The 20,763-nt window shown below is 45.2% G+C and overlaps 1 protein-coding gene across 14 annotated transcripts in view, besides 1 other annotated feature; it reads right to left on the bottom strand.

The window, feature by feature from the left end:
- CRACR2A (calcium release activated channel regulator 2A) overlaps positions 1-20,763 on the bottom strand; it is a 137,782-nt gene that overhangs the window by 62,344 nt on the left and 54,675 nt on the right. For 12 of the 14 annotated variants that reach the window (XM_011521034.4, NM_001144958.2, XM_006719021.4 and 9 more), the window contains 3 exons: positions 19,101-19,364; positions 2,567-2,678; positions 1,244-1,427 (listed from right to left, as the gene is read on the bottom strand). In XM_011521034.4, the coding sequence (XP_011519336.1) occupies positions 1,244-1,427; positions 2,567-2,678; positions 19,101-19,328 (524 nt within the window). In that variant the 5' untranslated portion in view covers positions 19,329-19,364. Of the gene's footprint in view, positions 1-1,243; positions 1,428-2,566; positions 2,679-4,456; positions 4,606-8,233; positions 8,423-19,100; positions 19,365-20,763 lie in introns of those variants that run through there. The other 2 variants (XM_047429737.1, XM_047429738.1) reach the window with 2 other exon arrangements.
- Positions 14,755-15,381: an enhancer, noted in NCBI's record as "H3K4me1 hESC enhancer chr12:3801592-3802218 (GRCh37/hg19 assembly coordinates)". NCBI's record gives its function as "activates a minimal SCP1, AML or CMV promoter by ChIP-STARR-seq in primed H9 embryonic stem cells {active_cell/tissue: H9 hESC(primed)}" and the evidence as "EXISTENCE:reporter gene assay evidence [ECO:0000049][PMID:30033119]".

The following is a 20,763-nucleotide window of genomic DNA, read 5'->3' on the forward strand; positions in this document are numbered from 1 at the left end:
GTGTATGACTAATGAGCTTCCCACCCACCTGTGCCCCTTCCACCTGCCAGCTACACCTTCTGTGGTCGACACCTGCTGCAGCCCCTTCCAGGCCTTCAGCAAACCTGCTACTGCTGCTGGTCTTGAGTTCCACTTCCTGTGTAGCGCCCCCACCAGGATCTTCCCCAGGCACTTGCCTATCCCTTTCTTGCCTGGAACACACTTTCGCCAGCCTTTCCCAGTTCTGCCACAGTCTACCAAATTGTTTGCTGAAAAATTCACAGAGCTTCGGCCTGCAAATCGTATATAGGCCTCTTCTCTCTTGTCTCCTTTTTATCATTTTCCACCCTAGCCCCTTCTCTTCCCAAGCTCAGGAAATGTCAGCTGTAATCAGTAGGGCATTCCCACACTACAGGAAACATACATCTAACCCAAGACCTAAGGACCCCAAAACAAAAAGGCCAAAGGCAAAGGCTAAAGGGGCAGAAGGTATTACATGCTTTTCAGGCCCTCTGTTTGGTTTCTACTAGCTGTAACACCACATTTTCCTTATTTTATTTTACTTTACTTCAATGTCAGGGCTTAGATCCCTGTGTCTATTCCAAAGCACATTTTAGGAAAAAAAATGGTGGAGGGGTAGTTATGTTTTGTTTGAGATCTCAGCCATCTACAATTTTCCAAGTAGTGGCCTGCTAAAAACTGCTTCATTTCCCACCTTGGCTTCCTGCACAAGCCTGGTTTGCCGAGGATACCGTGTGCAAATGCTTCCACATGATGGGTTTTGGCCAGGAAGGCACCCACAGCTGGGGCAGCTGGGAGGCACCGTAGCTCTAGAGACCCAGGAGAGGTAAAGATGCTGGGGAGCTGATGGTGATAGGAAGCCTTAGGGAGAACTCCATGAAAAACCCTGAGAGCATGGTACAGACCTCTGATGTGTGAGTGCCTCATGAGGAGCAAGGCTGAGCCAAGGACTGGGGGATAATGCATGGCCAGGAGTGAGGAAGGTAGAGGGGGTGGGAGAGAAGGAGAATAGGAATGATTCCTAAAGAAAAAAAAATGTAAACAGCAGAGACAGAGCCCAACACACAGCCAGGTCATCACAAAGGACAGGCCCCCACTGGCAGAACCAGCGGGCCTTTACCTGCACTGCATTCCAGTGCAGGGACCAGCACCACATGGTTAACAAATGTTAATTGTTGAATGGACACAGGAAGAGGTTCCTACCAGGCTGGTCTCCGTTCTACAAATCACTGTCACCACTTACTCTTCCAACACCTTTTGGGCTCCAAGTCTGTCCATCAGCATCCGGAACTGGGCTTCCTCATCTTCGCCCATGTCGCCCAGATCCTCATCCCCTCTGGACAGATACACCTTCTCTTCATGGCGCTGGGCCACCTGTTCACCTGCATCTTCCTGACTTGGGTTATTCTGGCTGAAGAAGAAGTGACCTGGGGGGTGCAGGGCACAAGGATCCGAATTAGACCATACCCATCCAGGAAGAGCTCAGCTTTCTCACCTGCCAGGAATCATTGAAGGTTCATCTGAGAGAAGGAAAGGGAAGGGAAAGCCCCTCCAGCAAAGATCCATGGACATGGGTCCGTGGACACGTTCCAGATTCTGTGACTTTTCCACTTCCACAAACACCCCATCAGTGATGCTAGAATCTGGGAATGGCAGAATGTAAGACGGATACGGTGTCTCCTTTGTGGTTCTCAGTCCCTTAACATCTGGCTTAGAACGCATCTCCGTTGATTTCTTCTTTAAGCAACAAGGCCTTTCCCTGCACTGCATTCCAGCACCCTGACTGCAGAGGCTCCTATTGTCATCCTAGTCATCCTCCCGCTAGCATCACTAGACTTCACATCTACAAGCTCCTTAACAGTTTCCAGTGTACTTCCTCCATACTCATACTGTCCAGTGTTACAGCAGTCTGTCTTATCCTCCCAAGTCAATTAGAAGCTCCTGAAGGTCAGGAAAGGCATCAGATACTTACAAGAAAATTATATGGCCCCACACATAAGGCAGATATATGGCTTTTGATGTATCTGATAGGATAGTGTGTCTGGTTTCTTTATATTGTTCATAGATCTCGATTCTTCTTCCTCCTGGTTACCTTGAGAATGTCTAGTCTGTTCAAACCTTCTAGAAATTCCTCTGATAGCTGTTATCCCTCAACCTGGAAAATTCAGCCAGACTTGGGTTGGAATGAGCCATCCAGTTGTCCCACCTTTTGGCCATTTTTCTATGAAGGCAGAAAAGGAGAGGCTGCAAATCTCATCACAGCTCCCCCTTTTATGCTATGGCTTCTGCAGAGCTTCCGTCCATCTCCCTTGCCAGTCCCAGTGGGAGGGAGCTTGGTAATGGCAGTGCAGTGGGCACTGAGCAAGCGGCAATGTAAGCAGTTGAGACGGGCATGTGAGGAGGCCCAAGCAATCTAGAGCCTGGAGACCTTGAGCTCCAGGTCCCTGAAAGGAGGGCAGGAAAGCTTTACTACCTGCCCCCCAGGTCTACAAGGGACAGGAATGCACCTTATACAGTGTTAGGTAGACCCATAACCCTGAGGTCCCCAGCACCCATCAGAACTTACTAAATCCAGTAGTGAACTCCTGTGGGGTCAGATAGCCATTGCCATCAGCATCCAGGGCATCAAACACATCCTCCAGTTCCTCCAGGCTGAGCGGTAGCTCCTTATGCAGCCTCTGAAAACAACCCAGAGTGTACTGGTTAACACTGACACTCACTGGTGGGGGAGGTGACCTGGGACTGCAGAGCCTTCTGCCAGAAAGTGTCTAGAGTTCGGCCCAGTCCTACAAAAGCCAGTAGAAAGCTTCTGCATCCAGACTGCTTCACCATCCCTCTCCTCCTTTGCATGTTAGCACAACTACCATTGATTGGGTGCCTACGAATGTACTAGGCCATTTGCTAGGTGATTTATAAATAAACAAATATGTAAATATGCATTTATTTATCTATCTGCATTTAATTCCCATGACAACACTCTGAGCTAGGCACTATTATCTCTGTTTTACAGATGAAGTTTGAGGTGAAATTACCTGCTCCAAAGTCACATGGCTAGTAATGACATAGCCAGGAGTCAAATCCAGCTCTGATTCCAAAGCCAGCACTCTCAACATCTGTAAAGGACTCAAACTGTACAGGACCAAATACTTTCAGGATAATACTCACACAGCATGGTGCTGTAAAGTTGAATGCAATCATGAATGTAAAGCATATAACAGTGCCTGCATACAGAAAGCATTCAATATAAAGTAGTAGGGAGGCAGAGAGAGAGAGAGACTCATGGCCCACTGAGGCCCCTCAAGGAAGTACGTGGCAGAGCCAGGCTTCAAACCCTGTCTTCCCTGCTCTCCCTAAGCCCCCTTTCCTCTCCCGTACCACGATGCGGGTGCGGGTCACTTACTTGAGGCCTCTCCTGCTGGAGGCCCCTGGTGTCCCATTGCCTCAGCACTGCATTTGTAAGTGTCTGTGGACACACATTTTGGTGCTTGAGCTCTGAGGGGATATGGGATAATCCCCCTTCCTACCTCTGAGTGACCCACACCCAGGCCCCGAGTCCAGGTTCCACTCCAGCTCCCTGCTGACTGGTAAGGAATTCCTAATAAGATCTCAACTGCCATTGGCTTAAGGTATCAAGGCCCCAAGAGTATTTGTGTGTTAAAGGGGGACTGGACAAGATAGTGTGAGGAGGTTATCGCTGGATTTGAGTCTAGAGCAGACTCAGACCTCATAAGGAGGGAAGGGCAGAGAACAATTAATAGGCCCAAGAGCAAAGCAGCTGAGCTGTTGCTGCTCCCTTCTGGCCTTCTGCCCGATGTGCAATGGCCCCAAGCCAAGGCTAACTTGCATAGATGAAGCAAGTGTACCCTCATACCCAAATAATCTAGGTCTCCAAATGAGAACTCCCCAGAGAGTTATATCTCAGCCGATCCTCTCCCTTCCTCCCAGTTACCTAAGCGGTAACCGTGCGAAATTGCCAGTGTGGAAGTGACTGACAGCTGAAAACAATGAATGCGGGGCTTTGTAAGAAGAAAGGTATATACCAACCTCAACAATAAAAAAGAGCTGGCAGGTGTGAAAGCCCATAACATAATTGGCAAGAATACTTGGCTTGATCCTATGGCAGTTCTAGCTGATAAGCCATAAAGCTTAATTTGGCAGGTACATGCATTAAGGGAGACTATGATGCATTATAAAGTGGGAAGACAGGCTGATGTGGAAGCCATTTAGAAGAATTGAATTAAATATGAATGGGCTTTTCAGAAAAGGAAGGAGAGTGAGAGAGAGTGTGCAAAGATTCTGGAAGTATATCTGCTTAGCATTCAGCAGAATCTCTGACTTATCAACAATCCATAAACCAGCTGTCTCAAAAGCTACAGTAGGAGAACACGGGTGAGGAGAGAGTCAATTTTGCAAGCAGGGATTTTATTAGCATCATTGGAAATAAGAAGCATCACACCTGAGGTAGGGTAAAAGCGCAAGCTCCTGTCACGCTCACATTCCAGTCCTTCCTTTGGATTATCCTTCCTCCTTCCCCACCCTCAGACTAGGATTGCTGGATCTGATTCAAAATGTGGTCTCTCGCACTGGGCTGGAGCAAGAAATGAGCTGCAAGAAAATTCCAGAGATCAACGGGACCCTCAACATGCCTTTCACTCAAACACCCCACACACTTTTCTCATGTTAGCATGAACCAGGAGAGGCTAGTTCACAGCTCACCTTAGGCACCATTCCTGAATCCAGCAGCACTTCGAACCCCAAATCCCCCTGTTGTCTAATCCCAGTTCTTGTCTACATCTCAAGTCAGTTTCCTCCTCCCATTGTCAGCAAAGATGGGGAAAGCAATATTATAGGTTCCAAGTAATTCTTACTACTCAAGTGCTGGCAAGTCAGCGCTGAGTGCTTCTTCAGCCTTCTCTGCAACTGATTCTATACCTGATTCTTCACTACACCTGATTCTTTCACCTTGTTTTGTTGGCCCTCCTTGAAAAATCTTTTAGTCTTAATAACCATAATTATCTCTTATTTATCGCTCTGCTCAGGGCCTACAGAGCCACAGAAAACCAGCTTATTCTGGTATGGTCCCCTGGTACTGTTTACATTATTTTTATTATTTTTATTATTACTTTTTTTTTTTTTGAGACAGAGTCTCGCTCTGTCACCCAGCAGAGTAATGTGATCTCAGCTCACTGCAACCTCCGCCTCCCGGGTTCAAGTGATTCTCCTGCCACAGCCTCCTGGGTAGCTGGGACTACAAACGCCCACCACCACACCCAGTTAATTTTTGTATTTTTAGTAGAGACAGGGTTTCACCATCTTGGCCAGGCTGGTCTTGAACTCCTGACCTTGTGATCCACCTGCCTTGGCCTCGCCTCCCAAAGTGCTGGGATTACAGGCTTGAGCCACTGGACCTGGCCTACATTTTTAACTAAGTGAGATAAGCAGGGTGGAGGGGAGCAAGATTATTTATTCCACTGTGCAATAGGCCTGTGAGGCTCTGAGATTAGCCTAAAGTCACAGTGCAGACCACAGCTGGGAAAAGAACTGATTTTCCATCCAGGGCTTGAGCAACTGTCTAATAGTTCTCCAGGGCATTCATTCTGTTATTCCCTCACCTTCATTACCTCCCACACCTACCCACCTACCAGCACCACCAAAATCAGAACACAAAGTCTCTCTTGCCAGCACCAAGACCCAGCCTTCCAGAGATCCTGTGGCACGCACAGCTTTTCACACACCTGGAAGGGTGGGCCAGGGAAAAAGAGAGGCATGAGGAGGAACTCAGCTTCCTATTCGTACTGCCCATGGCCCTGGGAGCTCTTGAGAACTCCTTGGCTCCTTTAAACACCAGCCTCACTCTTTCTTCACTCTCAGCTCCTGCGTCACTTCCTCCGTAAGGCCTTTGCACCTCCCCAGGTTAGGTCAGGTTATACAAGCTCCCCAAACTACCTTTCTCTCATTCATAAATCTTTCCCAATTAGCATTTTATATACTGATAGATGTGACTCATTGATGAACGTCTGCTCCCTCAGTGCTCTGAGAACAGGGACCTCATTCGTTAGGCACTGTTGTGTCCCCAGGATCTAGCCCAATGCTGACAAACATGGACTATTTAGATAAGTGTTGAAGGAAGGCATAGATAAGCGCTTGACTAAGAGCAATGGCAGGAGACCCTGAGCTCCTATGTACAGAGTGCTGGTCTAGACCTCACACACTCCAGAACCTGACCAGCCCAACTGCTAATTCTCAGCAAGACTCATAGTGACTGGCAACCTTCCAGAACCTAGAACATGAGGCATCTACAGCAGCAGTACTGAGAGTTCATGCCCCAGAGCCACGGGAAAGTGATGTCTTTTGTTGCACTCCAGCCAGGCTCCTTTACCTTCCTAGTCACCAGCCCAGTAACATACCCCATGTAGCTTAAAGTGTATGGTTGCACAGCTTCAAACATGCTTCCATGACATTTTTATTGAGGAAAAAATCAGAGGATATCCATTTTTTATGTCCAGAATTACACTGTCCCTCCTTTTGGGGCAATCACAGCATTCTTTTCAGACCCCCATTCCAGCACCAACCACCCTCTTCCCTGTGGTACAGTTCAGCTATACCAAATCTCTCTAGGACGAGAGTGGGAGGTGGGAGGGCAGGATCAACCTTTATCCTGCTTTGCACCTTGATGTGCTTGGCTTGGGCTGATTACGTGGTATAGGCCACAGTTTCTCAACCTTGGCACTACCGACATTTTGGAATGGACAATTTTTGGTTAAGGGGGTAGTGGAGGGGAAGGCAGGGGAGGGACCATCCTGTGTATTACAGGATATGTAGCAGCATCCCTAGCCTTTGCCTGCTAAACGCCAGCAGCACTTCCCTCACCAGTCGTTTCAATAAAAAATGCCTCCATACATTGTGTAAGGAATATGGCTGTGCTTTGGTCAAAGATAGACCGAGGTAGAATGTTTACATCCTGCGTGAGTCAGCAAGTTTAGAGTGCAGGCGTATAATTCCACTTGTTATCACAGCCATGTAGCCATAACATGAGAAGGCCATCACTTGGCTGTACACCACTATTGTCTGTAAAAGATATAATTGTCCTGTTGACACTGTGCAGGCATGCTTGCGCTTGTGCCCAGAGAAAGAGAGAGAGTCAGAGCTGCCTGTCATTGCAGACAGACTGCGGGGAGCCAGGACACATGCCCAAAGAAAGAATTAAGCTGCTGACCCTGAAGGCAAGGGAGAGCGGGCCACGCAGCTGTGTGTGGGAGCCGCCAGATTAAGTAGCCAAGACAGGGCGGACAGTGTGAGAAAGCTGTTGATGAAAGCTGCTGCTGAATAAAACCATATTCACCTGCCTACGGCCCCCTGAGTATTGTTTCTGCTCATCCACTCATTCCCTCCGGACCTCAGCATGGGCTGGAACCTATCCCCAAGCATGACAATTGGTGTAGTTGTGAACATGACACATTGCCATATGTCCTCCAGGAGGCAAAATTGCCGCCACTCATGTAGATTGGACACAAAGAATAACAGCAGCTGGATACGAGTGGAAGGTTCCCTTTTCAGCAGAAATGCCCGTTTCTTTTCTCTAAGACAGGACAGACAACTTGCACCTTAAAATTACAATGTGATGGTGCAGCTATTGTATAAAATGGTATGGTGTCTCCTCAAAAAATTTACAAAATAGAATTATCCTATAATCCAGCAATTCCACTTCTGGGTATACACACCAAAGAATAAAAAGCAAGGTCTTGAACAGATATTTGCCCATCCATGTCCATATCAGCATTATTCACATATAGCCAACAGGCGGAAGCTACCCAAGTATCTACTGACAAAGGAATGGAGAAACAAAATGTGGTATATACATACAATGGAATATTATTCAGCCTTTAAAAATATTCTGACACATGCTACGATACAGATGAACCTTGAGGACATTATACTAAGTGAAATAAGCCAGTCTCAAAAGGACAAATATTATATAAGTCCACCTATATACGATACCTTGAGTAGTCCAATTCAGAGAGACAGAAAATAGAATGCTGGTTGCCAGGGGCTGGGAGTGGGCGAAATGAGGACATTGTTTTACGGGTACAGAGTTTCTGTTTTGCATGATAAAAAGAGTTCTGGAGATAAATGATAATGGTGGTTGCAGAAGAAAGTGAATGTACTTAATGTCACTGAACTGCACACATAAAAAATGGTTACAATGGTAAATTGTGTGTTATCTGTATCTTACCACAATTAAACACAATCACAATGCAGAGGACATCAGGTACTGGGCTAAGATGTGGCACATACACAGTGCATTTCCAGGGATTTCCAGGTCCCAGTCTCAGGGCTGAGTGTGCTACATGCTTAAGCTCATTCAATTATCTTTTAATGCTGGGAGGTAGCTATAAATAATTCACAGCTGAGAAACTGTAGCCTAGAGGGGTTAAGAGACACAAATTCGTATTACTAGCAAGTTGCAGATTGAGGATTAAAACCCAAGTTAATTTACTATAAAAATCTTTTAAAGTTTTCTAGTTAACCTAAATCAGGAGATAGCTGGCTTTTTCTGAAAACAGCCAGGGAGTGCATATTCTAGGTTTTGTGGACCATTCGGTCTTTGTCACATCTACTTCCCTCTGCCACTGCAGTGTGAAAGTAGCCACGGAAAACACATAAAAGAATGAGCACATCTGTGTTCCAAGAAAACTTTACTTACAAAAACAGGTAGTGGCCCAGATTTGGTTAGTTTGCCAACTCCTAAATGAGTCTTAAGTTTGGCATAGCCAAGAATTCTGGGCAGTGTTGGGGAGGCAGGTGCTTGGTGTTGGTAGACAATCCTTTTACTCCTCCAAAAAATCAGGGAAACAGGGCTTTTGAGGCTCTAGGTTTTCTCAGAGAGATCTCCTGCCCATCCTCTCTCCCTCTCCCTCTCCCAGCTGATGGAGTCTCTTCATGCTCTCTGTAGCCTTTTCCTCTCTGTCCTTTCCTCTGAGGCAGGACTGACTCAGCCCCCCGTGAAGCTTCTAGGGTATTGCACCAGACCTAACCCTGCAAAGCAACATCTACCCCAATTCTGTCTGGAGAGATCCCCAGGAAACCCAGAGAGATTCCTCAAGAAGGACAGTGTGACACCTGAGGAGTCATAAGGGAGGCTGAGGACTCTCTAAACTTGGTTCATGCAGGTCAACGTCCATCATCTGCTACCCCTAGAGCAGAACACATGCATTTCACATGCCCGAGCAGAGGGCAGCTTGTGCTCCTAGCTTGAGTGTAGCACACATTGGGCTCATCCTGGGTTTCTCCAGGTTTCTCAGGGACCCTGATTAAAAACAGCTTAAGCACCCTGCCCTTTCTCCCTGTGGTCCCTGCTCTATCTGGGTGAGCTGGCTACTTACTGGTGGGCTCCGATCACATGGCAGTCTCCCCACCCCTTGACAATTGTAAAGCCAATCTCACAATCCATTTTTAATAAGAAGAAAGAAGAAAAACAGCCCTGGAGGAGGGGCTTGCTCCTCTCATCCCATTTTCTTTTTTTTTTTTTTTAACTTTTAAGTTCAAGGATATATGTGCAGGTTTGTTATATAGGTAAACTTGTGTCATGGGGGTTTGTTGTACATATTATTTCATCACCCAGGTATTAAGACTAGTACCCATTAGTTATTTTTCCGGATCCTCTCCCTTCTTCCATCCTCCACTGTCCAACCAGCCCCAGTGTGTGTTGTCCCCCTCCACCATGTGTCCATGTGTTCTCATCCTTTAGCTCCCACTTATAAGTAGGAACATGTGGTATTTGATTTTCTGTTCCTGAATTAGTTTGCTATGGATAATGGCCTCCAGCTCCATCCAAGTTGCTGCAAAAGATATGATCTTGTTCTTTTTATGGCTGCATAGTATTCCATGGTGTATATGTATCAGATTTTCTTTATCCAGTCTACCATTGATGGGCATTTAGGTTGATTCCATGTCTTTGCTCCTGTGAATGGTGCTACAATGGACACATACATGTGTCTTTGTGTCAGAATGATTTCTATTCCTTTGGGTATATACCCAGTAATGGGATTGCTGGGTCCATGGTAGTTCTGTTTCTAGGTTTTTGAGGAATTGCACACTGCTTTCCACAATGGTTGAACGAATTTACACTCCCACCAACAGTGTGTAAGTGTTCCTTTATCTCTGCAACCTTGCCAGCACCTGTTATTTTTTGGCTTTTTAGTAATAGCCATTCTGACTAGTGTGAGATGGTATCTCATTGTGGTTTTGATTTGCGTTTCTCTAGTGATCAGTGATGACCTTTTTTTCATATGCTTGTTGGACACATGTATGTCTTCTTTTGAAAAGTTTCTATTCATGTCTTTTGCCCACTTTTTTATGGGATTGCTTGTTTCTTTCTTATAAATTTGTGTAAGTTCCTTGTAGATGCTGTATATTAGACCTTTGTCAGTGCATAGTTTGCAAAACTTTTCTCCCATTCTGTAGGTTGTCTGTTTACTCTGTTGATAGTTTCTTTTGCTGTGCAGAAGCTCTTTAGTTTAATTAGATTCCATTTGTCAATTTTTGCTTTTGTTACAATTGCTTTTGGCATCTTCCTCATGAAATCCTTGCCCACTCTTATGTCCAGAATTGTATTGCCTAAGTTGTCTTCCAGGGTTTTTATAGTTTTGGGCTTTACATTTAAGTCTGTAATCCATTTTGAGTTTTGTTTTGTATATTGTAAGGAAGGGGTCCAGTTTTGATATATTCTGCATATGACTAGCCAGTTATCCCAGCACCATTTATTGAATAGGGAGTCCTTTCCCCATTGCTTGTTTTTGTTAGCTTTGTCAAAGATCAGATGGTTGTGGGTGTGCAGCCTTATTTCTGGGCTCTCTATTCTGTTCCATTTGTCTATGTGTCTGTTTTTGTGTCAGTACCATGCTGTTTTGGTTACTATAGCCCTGTCGTATAGTTTGAAGTTGGGTAATGTTATGCCTCCAGCTTTGTTCTTTCTGCTTAGGATTGTCTTGGCTATTTGAGCTCTTTTGGTTCCATATGAATTTTAAAATAGTTTTTTCTAGTTCTGTGAATAATGTCCTTGGTAGTTTGACATGAATGGCATTGAATGTATAAATCGCTTTAGGCAGTATGGCCATTTTAGTGATACTGATTCTTCTGATGCATGAGCATAGAATGTTTTTCCCTTTGTTTGTGTCATCTCTGATTTCTCTGAGCAGTGTTTTTAGTTCTCCTTATACAGATCTTTCACCTTCCTGGTTAGCTGTATTCCTAGCTGTATTCCTTAGCTGTATTTTATTGTTTTTGTGGCAATTGTGAATGGGAATATCTTCCTGATTTGGCTCTTGGTTTGGCTGTTGTTGGTGTATAGGAATGCTAATGATTTTGTACAAAGTACTGAGACTTTGTTGAAGTTGTTTATCAGCTTAGGGAGCTTTTGGGCTGAGACTATGGGGTTTTTTAGATGTAGAATCATGTCTTCTGCAAACAGGGATAGCTTGACTTCCTCTCTTCCTAAATGGATGTGCTTTATTTCTTTCTTTTGCCTGATTGCTCTAGCCAGGACTTCCTATAGTATGTTGAATAGGAGTGGTGAGAGAGGGCATCCTTGTCTTGTGCTGGTTTTCAAGGGGAATGCTTCCAGCTTTTGACCATTCAGTATGATGTTGGCTGTTGGTTTGCCATAGATGGCTCTTATTATTTTGAGGTATGTTCCTTCAATACCTAGTTTGTTGAGAGTTTTTAACATGAGGTGCTGTTGAATCTTATCAAAAGTCTTTTCTGCATCTATTGAGATAATCATGTGGTTTTGCCTTTAGTTTTGTTTATGTGATGAATTACATTTATTGATTTGTGTATGTTGAACCAACCTTGCATCCCAGGGATAAAGCTTACTTGATCATGGTGAGTAAGCTTTTTGGTGTGCTGTTGGATTTGGTTTGCCAGTATTTTGTTGAGGAATTTTGCATCAATGTTCATCAAGGATATTGGCCTGAAGTTTTCTTTTTTTGTTGTGTCTCTGCCAGGTTTTGATATCAGGATGATGCTGGCCTCATAGAGTGAGTTAGAGAGGAATCTCTCCTCCTCAATTTTTTTTAATAGTTTCGGTAGGAATGGTACCAGCTTTTCTTTTTTTTTTTGGTTGGTAGGCTATTTATTACTGATTCAGTTTCAGAGCTCATAATTTGTCTGTTCAGGGATTCAATTTCTTCCTGGCTCAGTCTTGGAAGGGTGTATATGTCCAGGAATTTATCAACTTCTTCTAGATTTTCTAATTTGTGTGCATAGAGGTGTCCATAATATTCTTTGATGGTTATTTGTATTTTTGTGTAGTCAGTAGTAATATTGCCTTTGCCATTACTAATTGTGTTTATTTGGAGCTTCTCTCTTTTCTTCTTTATTAGTTTTTCTAATGATCTATCTATTTTATTAACTTTTTTTTTCAAAAAAAGAAAAAACCTCCTGGATTCATTGATCTTTCTAATGGTTTTTCGTGTTCCAATCTCCTTGAGTTCAGCTCTGATTATGGTTATTTCTTGTCTTCTGCCAGCTTTAGGATTGGTTTGCTCTTGGTTCTCTAGTTCTTTTAATTGTGATATTAGGTTGCTAAATTGAGAACTTTCTAACTTTTTAATGTGAGCATTTAGTGCTATAAATTTACCTCTTAACACTGCCTTAGGTGTGTCCCAGATATTCTGGTATGTTGTATCTTTGTTTTCATTAGTTTCAAAGAATTTCTTGATTTCTGTCTTAGTTTCTTTAATTACCCCAAAGTCATTCATGAGCAGGTTATTCAATTTCCATGTAATTGTATGGTTTTTAGTAAATTTCTTAGTCTTCATTTCTAATCCGATTGTGCTGTGGTCTGACAGAGTGGTTGTTATGATTTCAGTTCTTTTGTATTTGCTGAGGAGTGTTTTATGTCCAATTATGTGGCCAAATTAAGAGTATGTGCCATGTGGTGATGAGAAGAATGTATGTTCTGTTGTTTGGGGGTGGAGAGTTCTGTAGATGTCTATCAGGTCCATTTGGTCCATTGCTGGGTTCAGGTCCTGAATATCCTTGTTAATTTTCTGCCTCATTGATCTGTCTAATACTGTCAGTGGGGTGTTGAAGTCTTCCACTATTATAGTGTGGGAGTCTAAGTCTCTTTGAAGGTCTCTAAGAACTTGCTTTATGAATCTGGGTGCTCCTGTGTTGGGTACATATATATTGAAGATAGTTAGGTCTTCTTATTGAATTGAATCCTTTACCATTATGTAATGCCCTTCTTTGTCTTTCTTGGTTTAAAGTCTGTTTTGTCTGAAATCAGGATTGCAACCCCTGCTTTTTTTCTGTTTTCCATTCGCCTGCTAGATTTTTCTCCATCCCTATATTTTGAGCCTATGTGTGTCACTGCAAGTGAGATGGGTCTCTTGAAGATAGCATACCAATGGGTCTTGGTTCTTTATCCAGCTTGTCACTCTCTGCCTTTTAATTGGGGGCATTTAGCCTGTTTATATTCAAGGTTATTATTAACATGTGGATGTGATCTTGTCATGTTGTAAGCTGGTTATGCAGACTTGTTTGTGTGGTTGCTGTATAGTTTCACTGGTCTGCGTACTTAAGTGTGTTTTTGTAGTGGCTGGTAACAGTCTCTCCTTTCATATTTAGTGCTTCCTTCAGGAGCTCTTGTAAAGCAGGTCAGTGGTAACAAATTCCCTCAGGATTTGCTTGTCTGAAAGGTATCTTAATTCTCCTTCACTTACAAAGCTTAGTTTGGCTGGATATGAAATTCTGGGTTGAAGTTTCTTTTATTTATGTATGTTGAATACTGGTCCCCAATCTCTTCTGGCTTGCAGGGTTTCTACCGAGAAGTCTGCTGTTAGTCTGATGGGCTTCCCTTTGTAGGTGACCTGACCTTTATAGCTGCCTTTAACATTTTTTCTTTCATTTCAATCTTGGAAAATCTGATTATTATGTGTTTTGAGGATTGAGGATGATCTTCTTGTGAAGTATCTTACTGGGGTTCTCTGCATTTCCTGAATTTGAATGTTGGCCTCTCTAGCTAGGTTGGGGAAGTTCTCATGGATGATATCCTGAAATATGTTTCCAAAGTGCTTACATTCTCCCTATCTCTTTCAGGGACACCAGTAAGTCATAGATTTTGTCTCTTTACATAATCCCATATTTCTCAGAGGTTTTATTCATTGATTCTCATTCTTTTTTCTCTATTCTTGTCTGACTGTCTTATTTCAGAAAGCCAGTCTTCAAGCTCTGAGATTCCTTCCTCTGTTTGGTCTATTCTGCTATTAATACTTGTGATTGAATCATGAAATTCTTGTAGTGTAGTTTTTCAGATCTATCTGGTCAGTTACATTGTTTTCTATACTGGCTATTTTGTCTGTCAGCTGCTATATCATTTTATTGTGATTCTTAGCTTCCTTGGATTGGGTTTCAATGTATGCCTGCATCTCAATGATCCTCATTCCTACTCATATGCCAAATTTTCTTTTTGTCACATCAGCCATCTCAGCCCAGTTCAGAACCCTTTCTGGAGAGGTAGTGCTATTGAAGGCACTCTGGCTTTTTGAGTTGTCAGAGTTCTTGCACTGATCCTTTCTCATCTTTGTGGGCTGATGTTTCTTTAGTCTTTGAAGTTGCTGACCTTTGGATTTTTTTTTCCTTTTATCCTATTCGATGACCTGGAGGGTTTGATTGTGGTATGAGGTGGGTTCAGCTGACTGGCTTCATTTCTGGAAGATTTTAGGGGGCCAATGCTCAGCTCCCAACTCCTGGACTGTGTGCTCTAACTCTAGGGGACCTGTATCAGGCCCTGGTTTTTTTTCTCTGGCTCCTCAAGGTTAGGAATCCACGCTGGGGGTGGGGGTGGGGTTGGGGGTGAGGTGCTTCTGGACCATTGGTCACTATGTTCCAGTGGGTGGTGTCAGCCAGCCAAAGCATTTTGTAGTGTGGTGGCAGTGGGATCTGTCCTTCTTTGTACGTGCCAACAGCAGCAGTGGCAGCAGCATGGTGGGGTGCACACTTATTGGCTGCAGCAGGGTGCCAGTGGGTGCTAGAGTGCCTGCCTCTGTGTGGGTGTTCAGTACAGTAATGAAGGCAGCATGGCTTGGGGGCCAGAGGCCCCTGTGGGCAACTGTGTGCATAGTTGTGCTGGTGGTGGTGGTAGCATGGGGGTGAGGCACTGGCTAGTGCAAGTCTACGTGCACTCTCTCCATCACCACAGTCATGGGTGATCACTCAGGGCAGGGAAAGGTTTTGCTGTTCTCTGTGCCTAGTTTCACTTCTGTGGCAGTGTTGGCATCAGAGTGGGGCACTGGTGAGGGTGTGGCTGGCTGGCTCTGTGCCCCCCAACGCTCCAACTGCAATGGTGGTCCAGCAGAAGAGGGAGGCAGAGTGCACTCTGGCCACAGCAGTGGCAGAACAGGGTGCATGCACACGTGCGTGCTGGCAGGGCAAGGAAGGCAAAACCTGCCTGCACACACATGCACCGGCAAAGCAATGCGGGGGCTGCCGTGGGCCTGGGGGAAGCTGCAACGTGAGGAGGGAGCAGGCAGGCTGGCACATGGCCTTACGGGCTGCCCTACTGGAGCTCTCTGCCAGTCAGCCACAAGTCTACCAGCACAGGAGCTATGATGCGGGCCCCCAGGACACCTGCGGCTGCTCCACAAGCAAGCGCATCCAGGCTGGGTCCCTCAGAGAGGCCAGCAGACCAAGGGGTGCTCAGGTCAGACCAGCCCTGTCTGATGGACAAGACCGCCCTGCAGAGTTCAGGTCTGACAGTTCCTCTAGGACTAAAGTCTCCTGTGGGAGTAAGTCGAGCCTAGGGAGATGGGTTTCTTGTAAAACAGGTCAGTGCTAACAAATTCCCTCAGCATTTGCTTGCCTAAAAAGGATCTTATTTCTCCGCTTATGAAGCTCAGTTTGGCTGGATATGAAATTCTGGGTTAGAATTTCTTCTCTTACGGTATGTTGAATATTGGCCCCCAATCTCTTCTGGCTTGTAGGGTTTCTACTGAGAAGTCTGCTGTTAGTCTGATGGGCTTCCCTTTGTAGGTGACCTGACCTTTCTCCATAGCTACCTTTAACATTTTTTCTTTCATTTCAGTCTTGGAGAATCTGATTATTATGTGTCTTGAGGATGATCTTCTTGTGAAGTATCTTACTGGGGTTCTTTGCATCTGGCTGTGCTCTCCTACAGACGCTCCCACATCAAACCCTCTGGGCTCTGCATCAGCTGGCGTGGCGCCTCTACTTCTCTAAGCACTTCTCCCTGCCAAATCGAGTGTCCATGGTGGTTGAGGGGTCTCCTCCTGCTGGGTTCCAGGGGCCCGTGGAGAGAGTGGGTTGCTCATTGCCAGTTCAACTCAGCCATTCCCCTGGAGTTGTTGGGGGCTGGGAATGAGTCCCCGTGCATGGTAGCCCCATGCAGGATTCCCAGCTTCCTCCCCTTTCAGCCCAGATTCTGTGTCTTCCCTCCAACCACTCTCAGTGTCTTCCCTCTGAAGATCTGTTAGGAGTGCACCAGTCATCTTGTTCCTTTGGTGGCAGCTGTTCCACCTGGCTGCGTCTAGTTGGCCATGTTGGCCAGCACCCCATTCCATTTTCAAAACAAATGCAAGCTGTCTGTGACTTTCTTCCCACTTGGCTTCTCCACTAGCTCCTCAGCCTCCTGTGTTCTCCCTCCCACATGGCCTGCAGCCTCTCCTTCCTTGAAGACCACTCTCTGCTGTCAAGGACCTTTCCTGCTTTCTGAATTTGTGTGTATATGAAAAATGTGAGTTCTTTCCCTTCCAGTTCCCATGAGGCTGTGCTGGGAGCCTAAAGTAAAAAAGGCGGTGGTGGCCAGGCCCAGGAAGCTGGACACCAACCAAAGGGGGTGACTGTATGCACACCGCAGCCCCATGTGGAAGTGACAAGCCAACAACACAGATGCCTGGAGGACCTGCTCCAGGAGAACCGGGGGGCATGGGGACTTTCTGCAGAGAGCCACAGCTGACCATGAGAAGCCTGTTGTTCTTCTTCTTCATGCATCTCCCCCAGCCCATCTTCCTTCAGAGGTGGCCAGCCGAAGCAGCCAGAGATGGTGCTTAAATGACACGCTCAGTTCCCTCTCTTGACAGCACTTGCCAGCCTGAAGAACTAAGCATTTCAAGTGCTTCACTGACCACAGGTTCAGAAAAACTTCAGAAAATTAAGTAGACAGCAGAAATAAATGCTGTGGATGCCAAGTTATCGGCTTGGTGGCTTGTTGATTCAGGTGTTCTCCTGCCTGGATCAGGAGTGAGGACTGGGGAGGAAGGTTGAGTCAGTATTTCTGGGACTTAATGTTTCTGACTATATTTCAAGTCAAATACAAGCGATTTCTTTAAAACTTTATACCTAGTTTCAATTCTCCATGCCTCCTCATCCCTTCATTAAAGAGTGGAGCTCAATGAGAGTTAATTAGGTTATATACAGCAAGAGTGCTGAGTTGCACAGTACTTGTGGCCCAGAGTTGACCTCCATAAACATGAATTTCCTTTTCTTTCTGTCTAGAGGGAATAATCAAAAGTTAAGCCTGATTTTGAAACTACTAACACCAACCACCGCTACTGCAGACCTGTGAATGCCAATTATGAAGTTCACAGACAGGGGTTTGTCAAAGGTTTCCTCAAAACACACTGAATCTGGCCTTCCACATGGAGTGAGCCTTTGAGGACTGGGTTTTGGTGACAGAAACTTACTGGGGGAGTCATCACTGCAAAGAAGGGTAGGTTGGGCTCAATTGTGGGCTGAGCTGGTGTTCCCCAGGTCTTTTCCCTCAATTTGTGCAACAGTTAGAGAGTGGAATAGCTCCAGGAGAAGCATAAGAACACCACCACATGGGGCCAGGGAAAGAACTGCCACACTTCACCTTGGGTCACACAGCTCCTTTCACAGCCTCCACACCTCGGAGCTCACATGCATGAGCAGAGATGGGGCTGAGCCTAATGAGGGTCCCCATTTCATTGCCCAACTTTGGTATATTCTGAAAAACTAGACTTAAAGAAAGAGAGCCTAGCCATTGTGCTTCCTCCAACAGCACAGGGATGCGTCCCTTCAAAAACTACTCTGATGGAGTGAGTGACACAAAGACTCAGGGGAAAAGAGCTGCTTTCAAAGTACTCTAGTGAAGTCTGTATTTTATTCACCCATGTTCAAGTGAAATCTTGACTGCAGCATAAGAGACTTCAGTCAGACACTGAGAAGTTTTTGAAACTAAAGAAAGAAAGGCATCAAACCAGGAGTGGGCAAACTCTGCCCCTGGGCTAAACCAGCAATCCCCTATTTTGGTGTGGCTAGTGAGTTAAGCCTGGTTTTTACATTTTTAAATGGTCAAAAAGAAATATCAAAAGAATAACAGTACTTGGTGACACATGGAAATTATATAAAATTCAAACTTCCTTGTCCATAAATAAAGTTTTATTGGAACACGGCACCCTCATTTGTTCACATATTGCCTATGGATGCTTTTGTGCTGCAACAGCAGAGATGAGTAGTTGTGATAGAGACTGTAAGGTCCACAAAGTGGAAAATATTTATTCTCTGGACCTTTATGAAAAGGCTGCCGGGCCCTGCACTAGGCAATGGTGTGCACTGATGCTCTGCATACCATCTCTCTGGAGAATCTCTTCAGGAGATTGCAGTGTATTTGGGTTTGAAGGCGAGACATGGGTAAAATGACCTCAGAAATGCCTTCCTCTCATGTTGTGGGAGAGGCTGTACCTATTCCTAAGGTACAGACAGCAGGAACGACTTTGTTATAACTCAAGTTGATGCCTTTCTACTTTTAGTTTCAGAAGGTTCTTCTCGTGTCTTACTTAAGTCCCTTACGTTACTGTTATCATTTCCCACAATCCTGGAGAGCTACTGAGGCAGAGAGGAAATAGCCCTGGAATCTGACAGCAAGTAAAGGCCAGAAATAGAATGAACTCAGGAGGTCCGGCTCCTAGTAGAGTTTGGGCAGATCCTTCCTTCCAAGACAGAACTGGTGGCATCTTTTCTGTTAAGGATGTCACCTCCCACGGGGCAAGCTCTAACCCAAGACAGGAAGACATCTGGCATTCTCAGTGGGCAGGCCTACCTGGGACCCCACTTACCTGCATATCCTTCCTGGCGATGAAGCCCTTGCCTTCAGCATCACAGGTCTGAAAGAACTCCTGTGCCTTCCTCAGCATGACTAGCTGGCCCGACGTTTGCTCCTGAGTCTCCTTCTGCTCCAGGCTGTCCAGGGGATGCAGGCAGGCTCCACTCCCCTTTGGCCCCTGGCCAGACCCCTGACCAAGTCTCTGGGGTCTGGAGACTACCCTCCCGTCAGGGGCAGCCATCGCGATTAGTCAGTTTCTTGAAGTCTTTTTCAGAACCTGAACATAGAAAATGGGAGAGAGAAGTGGGTGTGGTGGGTTGGAGTGAGGCTGAAAAAGAACAAGAGGGGATGAGAAGGAAGCACAGAGCCATACACCAGTGTGTCCAGGAATCTCTTAGCAACTACCTCTTAATTAGCAAAAGCTCAGGACAAGGGGAAAATATTCCATGATCACTAATAGATCAGCAAGCCCATCAAAGGGAGGAGGGAAGAGTGCGGAAAGAAGACAGACATCTCCAGATTGAAAGGAGATGGAATAGGGGAAGCCCAAAAATAATTTCTTCCCATTTAAACAACCAAACAACAACAAAACAGATCCTGATAGACCAGCTGCCATTTATAGAGCGTTTACTTAGACACCATGCCATGGCCTCTATATACATTTTTTTCATGTAATTCTCACATCTCTCTGACATAGCCATTATCATCTTCATTTTAGCAGTGTGAAAACTGAGGCTCAGAGAGGTTGCGTGACTTGCCCAATATCACACAGCAAATTACTACAAAAGCTGAGATTGAAATCCAAGCCTGTACAACTTGTATGATCTCAGTCCCACCCTGTCCTGACTCCTCAGCATTGCTGAGGGTGGAAAGCTCTCCTCAGGTGGATGCACTTGCTCCTACATCATTCACAGTCAACAAGTTCTTGGTGAGCTCTTGCCCAATGTCATAGACCTCGGCCACAGCTGTGAGCTCTGCAGTTTATTTACGTAGGAGAAAATGTGCCCCATTCTCAAGGAGCTTCATGTTGTAGAGGACTTGCCAGGCCTGGTTTGGTGACACCCAAGGCTGTTTTCAGCCCAAACCGAATCACAAATCATACACTTCAATCAGACTTTTAAAGACCCTGAAGGAGTGTTTTCAGAGGGTGTCTTGCAATGTGATGTGGAAGAGGGCATACGGAAACCTGGCTTCTGGACTCCACTGCTGCTTATATGACCTTGAACAAGTCGGTACCTGTCTGGGCCTCAGTTTCCTTATCTGTATGAGGAGAACACTGGACCTGTTTGTCTTTAAGGTCCCTTCTAGTTCTGAGCATCTGTAAGTCTGTGAAATCGCCACATCATAAAATGTTATGAATTATAAATGTTATTAATACAAAACTAAGTTCATGGGATAAAAGGAAATAATAACATCCTTGGATTTTTTTTTCCATCTGAAGACTTTTTGGAAGTAGAATAGGTCCACATTTTAAATACACGATGACATTTGGGTTTAAAAATAGAGATATGCACTGTCATGCATTTTGTGGCGAGCTGGAGAATGTGATGCTCTGGATCATATTTCCTGTGTCCATGTGAGTAAGAAAGGAGGAAAAGAAGTGAATCACCAGGCAGGTTTCTCTGATTACCAGGCCCTGGGCCTCAGGCTCAGCTATACCATGTCCAGAGCAATGT

This window comes from Homo sapiens, chromosome 12, assembly GCF_000001405.40.
Source record: "Homo sapiens chromosome 12, GRCh38.p14 Primary Assembly".
NCBI lineage: Eukaryota > Metazoa > Chordata > Mammalia > Primates > Hominidae > Homo > Homo sapiens.